The 11,986-nt window shown below is 39.4% G+C and overlaps 1 protein-coding gene across 26 annotated transcripts in view; it reads right to left on the reverse strand.

Annotated features, from left to right (window-relative positions):
- The window catches only part of ACACA (acetyl-CoA carboxylase alpha), a 321,845-nt gene that overhangs the window by 179,302 nt on the left and 130,557 nt on the right, over positions 1–11,986 (reverse strand). For all 26 annotated transcript variants that reach the window (XM_011524701.2, XM_006721853.2, NM_198834.3 and 23 more), the window contains 3 exons: positions 11,658–11,756; positions 9,900–10,006; positions 6,458–6,568 (listed from right to left, as the gene is read on the reverse strand). In XM_011524701.2, the coding sequence (XP_011523003.1) occupies positions 6,458–6,568; positions 9,900–10,006; positions 11,658–11,756 (317 nt within the window). The remainder of the gene's footprint in view (positions 1–6,457; positions 6,569–9,899; positions 10,007–11,657; positions 11,757–11,986) is intronic.

The following is an 11,986-nucleotide window of genomic DNA, read 5'->3' on the forward strand; positions in this document are numbered from 1 at the left end:
TGTTGCAGCCAAAGGACTTTCATCTTTAGTTTTGAAGAATATTACTGTTGGGGACAGAATTCTAAAATGGTAACTATTTTTTTTCTCAGCACTTTAAATAATCCCAATGATTTTCAGCTTTCACTGTTTCTACTGAGATGCCAACTGTCAATCTTATTGTTACTATTTTGAAAGTAATCTTTATTCCTCAGCTGGTTTAAGATTTTCTCTCTTTCTGTCTTTTATAGGGGGGAGGGTGGTAGATTTACTCTGATAAGCATAGATGTGGTTCTTTGTATTTGTCTTGCTTGAGGCTCATAGTGCTTTTTGAATCTGTCCTTGGTATCTTTTATCTGTTCAAAGAAATTCTTAGCTTTTCTCTCTTCAAATATGGCTTCTGCTTCATCATTTCTTCAATTATTGTTTCTGCTCCATTCTCTTTCTCTTCTCCTCTGAGACTTAAAGTACATGATGTTAGACCATTTCACATAACCATATGTCTTTTATGCTCTGTATCTTTTTTGCTCTGTTTTGCCATGTAGCAAGTCATCTCAAAACTCAGTGGCTTGCTTAGAACATCAACCTTTTATGATGTTGTTCTCATCTGGGCAGTTCTTCTTCTGGTCTTGCACTTACATACATATCATCATCTGGTAGCTTGAGTGGGGTAGAATGGTCTCACTCAGATGTCTGGTGATTTGTGCTGACTGCTGGCTGGTAGGTCTAGGGAGCCTCAGCTGGAATCGTTCATCTCCAATGCAGGTGGCTTCTCATCCTGCAGCAGGCTAGACTAGGCTTCTTCAGTGATGTGTTCCAAGAGGGGAAGAAGCTGTAAGGCCTCTTGAGGTCTAGGCTCTCGAATTTATACATCACTTTGGCCACATTCTAATGGTCTAAGCAAGCCACAAAGCCAGCTAAGATTCAAGGGGTAGGGAAAATAGATGCCACCCCTGGAAGGGAGGAACAGCAAAGTCACATTGCAAAGGGTGTACATACAGGAATGGGAGGAGTTATTGTCGCCATCTCTTGCAAACAACTTACTATGCTCTACCCTATGGCCACAATAATTCACATACCTCCCACATGCAAAATAGACTCACCCCCTCCCAAGACCCCCAAAGTCTCATCCAATCATGGCATTGGGCTTGACGTCCATTTTCTCATGAGTCATGTCCAGAAGAAAATGAGGTTCCTTGGGTGCAACTCCTCAGGTACAGTTTCTCTTGATCCAAAGACCTGGGAACTAAGAAGACAAGTTATCTGGCCCAACACTCCCAATATTTATGATGATATTGGGAGGGGATAACTGCAAATGAGACTGCTGTTCAAAGAGGAGGAAATAGGAGGTACATAGTAGTCATTGGTCCATAGCAATTCTGAAATCCAGATAGGTACATGCTGTCAGATTCCCTTACTCCAGGGTCAGGAATGCTTTTCATTTTGTTTTGTTTTGTTTTGTTTTTCAGGATCTAGTTTGGTTCCCTGGGAGTAGGTCCTTAATCCATGGCATCCCCTGCTCCTAGCTCTGCCCTCTGGGCTCCTGACTCCACTCTCTGAGAAATCCCTCTTTTTATTTGAAATGACAGCTATTTACAGCTGAATAGCTTTCTGTCTGCTTCCTGCTCATTAAAAAGTTTAAGGCTCAGAGGTCACTTTTCATTTTGAACTGTTTCTGGCCCTTTCAGTCCCTTGGTGCATTCATCAACACAAGTCTCTTGACAACTTTGTGGGTTTCCTATGAATCATATTGGGGTTCACCGCTCACCCAAAGAGACACATCCACAACTCATGTCTGCATAGACCTCTCTATACTTTGGGCACGTCAGGATGCTGTGAGACAGTACCCTTAAGATACTTAGGGCCAGGCATGGTGGCTTATGTCTGTGATCCCAGCACTTTGGGAGGCCAAGGTGGGAGGATCATCTGATGTCAGGAGTTCGAGACCAGCCTGAGCAACATGGTGAAACCTCATCTCTAGTCAAAACACAAAAACTAGCCAGGCATTGTGGTGGGCACCTGTAATCCCAACTACTCGGGAGGCTGAGACAGGAGAATCACTTGAACCTGGGAGGTGGAGGTTGCAGTGAGCCGAGATCGCGCCACTGCACTCCAGCCTGGGCGACAGAGTGAGACTCCCTCTCAAGAAAACAAAAAAAAAAAAGATAGTTAGAAGCATGTTTCCAGCTGAAAGCATTAAAAAAAAAAAAAAGATACTTAGAAGCATCTTTCTAGCTGAAAGGGTAATTTATTAGCTACTACCTTAAAGATTTCTGAGGCCTTAAAGTCACAGGCACTCTTGACTTGGTCTTTACTCTGAGGCATTTTTTACTTTGCAAATCTTTTGCCAGCTGGAGAGACTCGGGATGAGAAACAATTCTATTTTCAACAAGTTCTGGGTCCTTTACATTTCTGTAAATTCTGCTTGTAAGCAAAACATCTTCTTTAGCTTACCTCTCTTTTACAGTTTTTTAGCATAAGCAACTAGAAGCACTCCACAGATACTTTAAACACTTGTAGAGAGCTCCTTAACCAGATCCATGACTTCATTAAATATATTATTTGTCTTCCAAGTTACCTCAGATAACATTTTTTTGCCAATTGTTCCATTATTACAGAACATGGATCTTTTTTCCAGACTCCAGTAACAATTACTACACTGCTTTTCCAGCCTCCCTTAACAATTCATCATTCTTCCAGTCTTCATTAACATCCTCCTCACCAATGTTCAGCCTACACCTATGAGCCAGTTTTAAAGTCAATGTCTTACGTTTTACTTTTCTGTTATGGCAACATCATACCGTTAGGTATCAATTTCTGTGTCAATTATCCATTGATACCTAACAAACTACCAAAATCTTAGTGACTTGGTATAGCAACCATTTTATTTTATTTGCTCATGAGTGTGTGGATCAGCATTTTGAACTGGGCACAACTGGCAGTTCTGATCTTGCCTGGAGTAATTCATGCAGCTATAGTCATCTGGCAGCTCAACTGGGGTTAGATGGTCAAATATGGTCTCATTTACATGTCTCAAATGTGGTGCTGCTGACTGTCCTAGTAGGACTAGGAGGCCTTAGCTGGGACAACTCATCTCTGCTCATGTGACCTCTCCTTCTCTAGTAGGCTAGAATGGGCTCTTCACATGGTAGTCTGAGGGCTTGCTCCAAGACAGCAAGAGCAACAACTACAAAACCATTGCAAATAATTTCTCACATTGCTCTATGTTTTTCATCCTTTTGTCTTTCTTCATGCTTCAGTCTGAATTTCCTTCTGATCTACTCACCAGTCGTTAATTATTTATCTTTTTCTAGATTTTTTTGTTTTGTCACCCAGGCTGGAATGCAGTGGCATGACCATAGCTCAAGGCAGCCTCAAACTCCTGGGCTCAAGGGATTCTCCCATCTCAGTCTCCAGTGCCAGTTACTGATTCTCTTCAACTGCATCTAATATGCTATAATTTTAAACTCCTATATTGACTTCTTCTTCTTCTTCTTTTTTTTTTTTTTAAGACAATGTCTTGCTCTGTCACCCAGACTGGAGTGCAGTGGCACAATCTCAGCTCACTGCAGCCTCTGTCTCCTGGGTTCAAGTGATTCTCCCACCTCAGCCACCCAAGTAGCTGGGATTACAGGCATGTGCCACCAGGCCCAGCTAATTTTTGTATTTTTAGTAGAGATGGGGTTTCATCATGTTGGCCAGGCTGGTCTTGAACCCCTGATATTGACTTCTTAATTTTAGTTATTGCATTTTCAGTTCTAGAACTTTTGTTTCTTCTTTATGATTTCCAGTTCTCTACCAAAATTCTCAATCTTGCCTTTACTTTCCTTGAATATATTACGCAGAATTACTTTAAAGTCCTTGTCTGATAATCTCATTATATAAACCCTCTGTGGGTCTGTTTCTACTGTTTTGTTCTTCTTGGTTTTCAATCATCTAATTTTGTATGCCTATTTTCAATTGAGTGGTTGATAAGCTGTAAGAAAAATTAATAGAAATAATTTTAAGTTCTGGATGTTATCTTTCTCTGGAAAGGATTTACATTTGCTTCCTGCAGGTGTCTAGAAGCACTAGCAATCCTAAAACATCTTGCTTAAATCAGAGGTTGAATGTTTTGAAGCCAAGATTTAGTCCCTGTGAGGGCTAGTCTATTTCCAGTTCACCCTTTCTCCCATGATGTAGTCAGTCCTTAAAGATCCTAACCTAAAATGTGGGAGGTTTTCCAGGGCACCCCTCCCCAGGAAGCCCTCTTAGTCTTTTAAGACTGTTGAAAACTTATCAGCCTTTCTACTATCTTGAACTAGAAGATATATCTAGGGGAAAAGTAGCCTCATATGTCAGGCTCACATCTCTGGGTTTCCTTTTTCTCTTGTATGTTAGCCCCATAATTCTTCACTGTCTTGAATGGTCTCTAATGCCGTAAAATGTAATATATCTATATCTATATCTATCTATCTATCTATCTATCTATCTATATATATATATATATATATATATATCTGGTTCAGCTTTTCTAGTTTGTTCCCAATGGGAGGATTAGTTTATTCAGCCAACTAGTATTGAAACTTAAGGACTTTCACAGAAAACCTTCCCTTAGTGTTTTAAGACTTTTCCACTATTTGATTCCATAAGTAATGAGTAGTTTTGAAATGTCTGTAAGAGTTAACATTAATTAACATGCCTTTTTTTTCTTTTTGCTTCTAAGAGCAGTCTTTTTTCTCTAGACTCTCTGAGTCACTGATCTACCTATGAAATTAGAATTCAATGAAAAAAATGTAAAAAAAAAAAAAAAAACCCAAGGTAATATTCAATTTCTGACACTTAAAATAGGATAATGTAGCAAAACAATACCTTATTTATTGATTTATTTATTTTACAATTTTTTGTAGAGATAGAGTCTCACTTTATCTTCCAGACTGATCTCAAATTTCTGGCTTCAGGCAATGCTCCCGCTTTAGACTCCCAAAGTGCTAGGATTATAGGCATAAGCCACCAATCCTGGCCAAGACAACACCTTTATCACTTCCTTTATCTAGTACAGATGCTCTTTGACTTACAATAAGGTTATGTCCCAATAAACCCAACATAAGTTGAAAATGTTCTAAGTCAAAATTGCATTTAATATACCTAACCTAATGAACACCATAGATTAGTCTAGCCTACCTCAAATGTGCTTAAAACACATTAGCCTACAGTTGGGCAAAATCTTCTAACACAAAGCCTATATTATAATAAAGTGTTGACTATCTCATGTAGTTTACTGAATGTTGTACTGAAAGTGAAAAACAATAGCTGTATGGGCACTCAAAGTAAGATTTATACTGAATGCATTATCACTTGCACAGTATTGTAAAGTTGTTTGTTTGTTGATTGTAAGTTGAAATTTTAAGTTGGGGACCACCTGTATATGAAATCATGGAAGACCCAGCTCATAAGACTTTCCTTTTAACTCTTAACAGTGAAGCAAGGAGTTTGCTGCTAAGTGTTTTAAGGGAAAAAAAAAAAAAAGCGAAATAAAAGGTAGCATGGCACACTAGTAAAAGAAGTGCAAAGTAGAAGATGATGAGGAAACTATGAAAAAGAGGGAAGCTAGGAGAGTGAAAAGAGCAGACTTCTGTCCCAATTTTCCATTTTTTGACAAATCTTTTACTATGTATTGGTAGGAGGAAAAAAAGTGAGTTAAATATGTGAGGGTAACTCTGAGGACAGAACAAAAAGAGACCCCTGTCTCCCTTTTCTCTTTCTGTTTAAGATTCTAAAAAGACATCACTTCTTTGGTCGTCTCCGCAACCAATGTATAGTATGGCCACATCAACTTGGCTGCAAAGCAGAGGGTAAGGCAAAGAGAGATCCTACATCGAGCTTTCCTGAGTCACTCTCAGTTCCTATATACTGTAGGCCTGCCATAGGGTTCCTGTGCCAGGGTGTGGTGGCCATGCAACACGGGCTAGGGTATAGAGTGCTGGGACAGCAGGGTAGATGAGACATATGATAGAAACTCAGAGGTCTCTAGGCAATGTGAACTAAAGTGAGAAAAAGTCAATCAGAGAGCCTGGGCCTGGCCAAGCCAAGAGCAACCATATCAGTATCATACCACCATATCACATATGACCTACAAAGTCAGCAGAACAGGGGCACAAAAATACAGAAAGGTATTGATTTTTCTTTGCCATTATGAGGTCCTATAAGCCATACGCACCAGGTAGGAAAGAGCTATCTGACAAACTGAGCACGTTTATATAAGACAGAATAACTCTACTGTTTGAATTACCTAATTAAATAAAACTTAAAATTGAGTTGGACATTTCATTAACCTTTTTTCTCTGCTAATATGCAGGTAGAAACTAGAGAGAAAGACAGTTAGCTATAGACAAAATTAAAAATTAAATATTTTCTGGGCATCCAAATTATAGTATGAGTTAAATCATATATCTCTGATATACATGTTAGTTCAAACAAACAAAAACAGCTTATACTCTACCTGTCTGAAGAGATTAGGGAAGTCATCTGCATTGTTGACTTTTCTAATTCCCTTCCCTCCTCCTCCCTCTGAGGCCTTGATCATTACTGGATATCCAACTTCCTCAGCTGCCTTCAAAAAGAAAGAAAAAAAAAATAGAAGAAACAGTGTTATTACCAGGGAAGGAGAAAACTGGCATTTTTCTCCCTTTAAGAATGCAGTCATTTAGTAATTCTAAATACAATAAAATAGAAAGATCTTCAAGATACACTATGAAAAAATAAATAGTAGAACAATATTTGTAGTATTAGGTTGAACCAAAAGAAATTGCCTTTTTCATAGATTTAAAAAAATGACTGAATATAGGCAATTTCTTATGGTTCAATCTAAAGTAATGTCACATGGGTCAAAAACAAAATTATATATGCATTCATACACCCACACATGTAAGTGCAAAGAAGTGAAGTCCAGAGTACATACCAGCAATGATTTAGAAAAGAATGGGTCCGGGCACAGTGGCTAACGCCTGTAATCACAGCACTTTGGGAGGCCAAGGCGGGCGGATCACCTGAGGTCGGGAGTTCAAGACCAGCCTGACCAACATGGAGAAACCCCGTCTCTACTAAAAATACAAAATTAGCTGGGTGTGATGGCGCATGCCTGTAATCCCAGCTACTTGGGAGGCTGAGGCAGGAGAATCGCTTGAACCTGGGAGGTGGAGGTTGCAGTGAGCCAAGATCACGCCATTGCACTCCAGCCTGGGCAACAAGAGCGAAACTCCATCTCAAAAAAAACAAAAACAAAAAACAAAGAAAGATGCGTGGATATAAAACTTTCCTTTTTCACTGTATGTATTTCTGCATTATTGGAATTTCTTGCTTATAGTATGCAGGCATCCATGTATTACAATTAAAAAAAAAAAAGACATAAGGAGTTCACTTAAAATAAGCTGAAGTGGGGTTGGGCGTAGTGGCTCGTGCCTGTAATCCCAACACTTTGAGAGGCTGAGGCAGGTGGATCACCTGAGGTCAGGAGTTCGAGACCAGCCTGGCCAACATGGTGAAACCCCTGGCCCTATTAAAAATACAAAAAATTAGCTGGGCGTGGTACTGCATGCCTATAATCCCAGCTACTCGGGAGGCTGCGGCACGAGAATTGCTTGAACCTGAGAGGCAAAGGTTGCAATGAGCCAAGATCGTGCCAATGCATTCCAGCTTGGGCAACAAAGTGAGACCCTGTTTCAATAAAATAACCAAGTCATTCCTTTGTCAAAATATTCCAGTCTTTTAAGGTTTTGCTACATTATAAGAATATCTTTAAAATGTATCACCAGGCCTGGCCCAGTGCTTCACACCTGTAATCCCAGCACTTTGGGAGGCCAAAGTGGGTGGATCACTTGAGGTCAGGAGTTGGAGACCAGCCAGCCCAACTTGGTGAAACCCTGTCTGCACTAAAAATACAAAAATTAGCTGGGCATGGTGGCGGTAACCTGTAATCACAGCCACTTGGAGGCTGAGGCAGGAGAATCACTTGAATCTGGGAAGTGGAGGTTGCGGTGAGCCAAGATGGCATCACTGTACTCCAGCCTGGGCAACAGAGTGAGACTCCAACCCAAAAAAATAAAATAAAATAAGTATCACCCAGAAAAAGAACATTTCAATTTTTAATCTATGTCAATCGATTACTTAATGAATGAAAATCTTTTATGCACAGTCTCACCTTTTCTAATGTTTCTTTATTCTTTTCTATGCTCATATAAACAGAATTAGTATGATGAACTCAATTGCTGAGTGATAGATGATCAAAGAGATAGCTTAAAAAAAAGAGAAAGACTTAAAAAAAAAAGGGGGTATCCCATAGGAGGTCAGTAAGTAAGAAGGTAGGCCTTTTAAAAATATATGAAAGCTTTAGTCACAGGTCACCCATTAAAAATATTTTGGAAGAATTTTAACACTTTAATATAATGTTAAGTAAGGAGCGGGGAGGTAGAAGGACAAAAAAATATTAAGTAGAAAAAAGTATTATGATTACCAACACAATACAAATAGTAAGACCCAAAACTTATAATTATCATAATTATAAGTATAGGAATCTATTAATAAAGATTTGTATATGATATAAATCTATGAGTTGAAAAGGGATAAAAAAATGAATAGGTTAATGGGCATTATCTTTGGATGGTGTGTTTGCATGTGGCTTTATCATCATCTTTGGCTTTTCAAATTTTCTACCAGAAAATGCTGTTTATAATTATAACCAGAAAAAATAAAAAAGAATGTTAGTCGATAAGCAAAATAGCTAGAATAGCTAGTTCCTTACAAAGAGCTTCTACTCTTTTGCAAATTATAACAAACAAAATAAAGCATTTGAAATTCAATTAGAAATATTAATTCTTCTTATTAAGGAGATTACAGGATGTTTAACTTAAAATGCAAACAATACAACAAAATTATTTGAACATTCAGCATCCCTCTTGAATTTACATGACACAAGTCAAACTCAAGCAGTGTATTTTTCTACAATAGCCTCTTTCATTATCTTTCATTATACCTGGAAGCATAACCAACACTTTAAACTATTTATAAAAGTGAAAGGGGAACAAATTGGAGGGAACTGTAAGGAAAGAAAAGGTAATGTTGGGGAAAGGATCTCCTTTTGCCTAGGTTCACATTTCTACATGGATAGACAATAATTAAGAGTAACACTTTCAGTCTTTCTTGGTTCACTCCCTTGCTCCTCCCCAAGGGAAAAATAATAAATTATGTGATTGGTCAACTTGGAAGGAGGGACTGAATATGCATAGCTCAGCCTTTTCCCCTTTGGGATCAGCCCACTGCACAGGACATATGCTCTTTGTCAGCTCTCAGCCATACACTAAGCTGAATTAAGCTCTCTCTCTCTGTCGAGGGAAATCTGTGGTCATTCAGCACTGCCAGTAACCAGTGGGTGAGTGAGCCTGCTTAACTCTGGTGTTTAGTTTACAAATCTGAATGTTGCTACACACTTAAGCCATTTTCATCAACATCTCTGTTCATAATAAAGCTGACTGTTTGATCTCTGCTTCCTGGCTTCTTGGTTCTGAATTCAACCAGTAGAAAAAGTATGTTGTTTGTTGTCCCCGCCCTCACACACTAACAGGTGGTAGAGAGAGAGAGAATCAGCACCTCCTTAAAACTCTGACTTAATCACCTAAGAAATGTTCTGTCCAGATGAGCAGCCTGCTTCAAAATGAATTTAGATTGTTTACATTTAAAGTCACTTCCTCAATCTGTACTTTTTAAAGGCAAAAGACTTATGCAATCTAAAGAGAAACCAGCGTATTCTATACTTTCAAACTACACCTCCTGGTCTTACATCCCTAACACCACCTTGGGTATATATCACGAGCCAGGCTCCCAATCTCCACATTTGTGACTATAACTGGTCAGCTGAAAGGTATCACTCCCTGGAGTTAGTAACCTACCTGTAGCCCATCATCCACATCTTTCACATAACCTTTTTCATATAGCTCCTGGGGAACATTTAAGATACGTTTTGAAAAATCATTTTCCTGCCAGTCCACACGAAGACCTGCAACAGACAATAGCAACTTAGGGCAATTACAAGATCTTCTGCTCTTGTCAATTTTCTGCTCTGCATTCTTTGAAATGCTATCATATTTACCCAAAACTGAGAGTGGATGGGAGAAAGAAGGATGCCATAAAACCCTGATCAGTCCTTGGGGTTAACAGGATTTAGCCACAGCATGACCCGGCAACTTGGGTTCTTAACGCTGGCAAAAGCCAGCCGAACTAACAGGGAGCAACTTATAAAAATGCAAAGACGTACAAGATCAAAACAAACAAAAAAAGAACATAGCATACTTCTCACAGCAACTCAGCAGGCAAAATACCTTCAAACTGTGTGTTCAGGCCTGCTCCAGGGCCAAGAGGTCTGGGAAATAATTCAATCTTTATGAGCCCTTGGAAATAGAAATGGCGGTTTTATTGGCCTCAGCAGAGTCATGATTCCATGCTCTCTGAACGTCCCTGTACTCAGCCATAAGGGGAACACTATAGCCTCTCCATTCAAACAAGAACAAATTCAACCTTTTATTTTAAACTATTTGACCCAGCAGATCTGGAGAGGATATTGCAATCTCCCTGGAGAGCCAGAGTAACAAGGGTTCAAATCTGTTCAGCCTCAAGACAGTGGTCATTCCCATTTAAAAGAGGTTTTAGTGTATGTCTGTTCCCAGTGCTTGAGTACTTAAGAAAAAAAAAAAAAGGTTCATATTGTTATCAGCTATAATAATTCACATGGAACTGTTTAAGGGATGTGTTGAGAATAAATCACTTTTTGAAAATTCTTGCCCCTCTGGCATGCCTGGAAGAAAGGTTAATTACTGACCTCATTTTCTGCATCAAGGGCAACTGAGGTTGAATGGTTTTTAAACAGTCAAATCAAATCATCAATAGATTGTGGGTTGATATCAAGAAAACATTGGCGCCAGGCGCGGTGGCTCATGCCTGTAATCCCAGCACTTTGGGAGGCCAAGGCAGGTAGATCACAAGGTCAGGAGTTCAACACCAGCCTGGCCAAGATGGTGAAAGCCTGTCTCTACAAAAAAATACAAAAATTAGCCGGGTGTGGTGGCGGGTGCCTGTAATCCCAGCTACTCGGGAGGCTGAGGCAGAGAATTGCTTGAACCCGGAAGGTGGAGGATGCAGTAAGCCAAGATCATGCCACTGCACTCCAGCCTGGGCAACAGAGTGAGACTCCAACTCAAAAAAAAAAAAAAAAAAGAAAAAAAAAGAAAAAAAACATTGGCAAGGAAACATTTGAGTAAGTGGGTTTTAGGTTTTTCCTAGTGATCCAGGCTACTCCCAGGCAGGTCTGAAGACCCAATTCCCCCTGGGAAGCCCACCTCTGAGGAAGATTCTAGCCTACCCAGAGTACATCTAAACCCACAAAACCATATACATGTTTTCCCAGAGTTTTTCTAAGTTAACTCACAAGATCACTCCAGATCACAATTTAGCATCTGTGTACCTGGAACTAAATTTATATTACTAAAAGAATCACAGGTGTATTAATTAAGCTAGGAGCTACAAGGTACCATTAATCAACCAGTATTCCATTTCTTGTCAAGTATACCAATACTTTTTCAAAAGAGGTAAGTCCCAAATATCCTACTGAGCTATTCTGTACTTCAAGATACAAACAAGAATTCAGTTCTTACCACTGCCGCTCCAGGGAAGAGTTGGGATACCTGCAGTTTGAGCCACTATGGAAGATGCAATCTTATCCCCTAAAGCCCACATGGCCTGGCTTGGAGGACCTAAAAACGAAACAGGAAAAGAATCCTGACTGTAACACCTTGGCCTCATTTCTGGCACATGTAGTTGCCTTGTATTATAGCTATTTATGTATTTGTCTTGTCCTCCCCCCACCCCTCACATATCAAGGAGATCATAAATTATGGGGACTATTATGCTTTGACTTATCTTTGTACCATCTGTAAAACCTAATGTAGTAAGCTTTTTGTGCAGAGTGAGAGCTCAATATATA

Source organism: Homo sapiens, chromosome 17 (genome assembly GCF_000001405.40).
Source record: "Homo sapiens chromosome 17, GRCh38.p14 Primary Assembly".
NCBI lineage: Eukaryota > Metazoa > Chordata > Mammalia > Primates > Hominidae > Homo > Homo sapiens.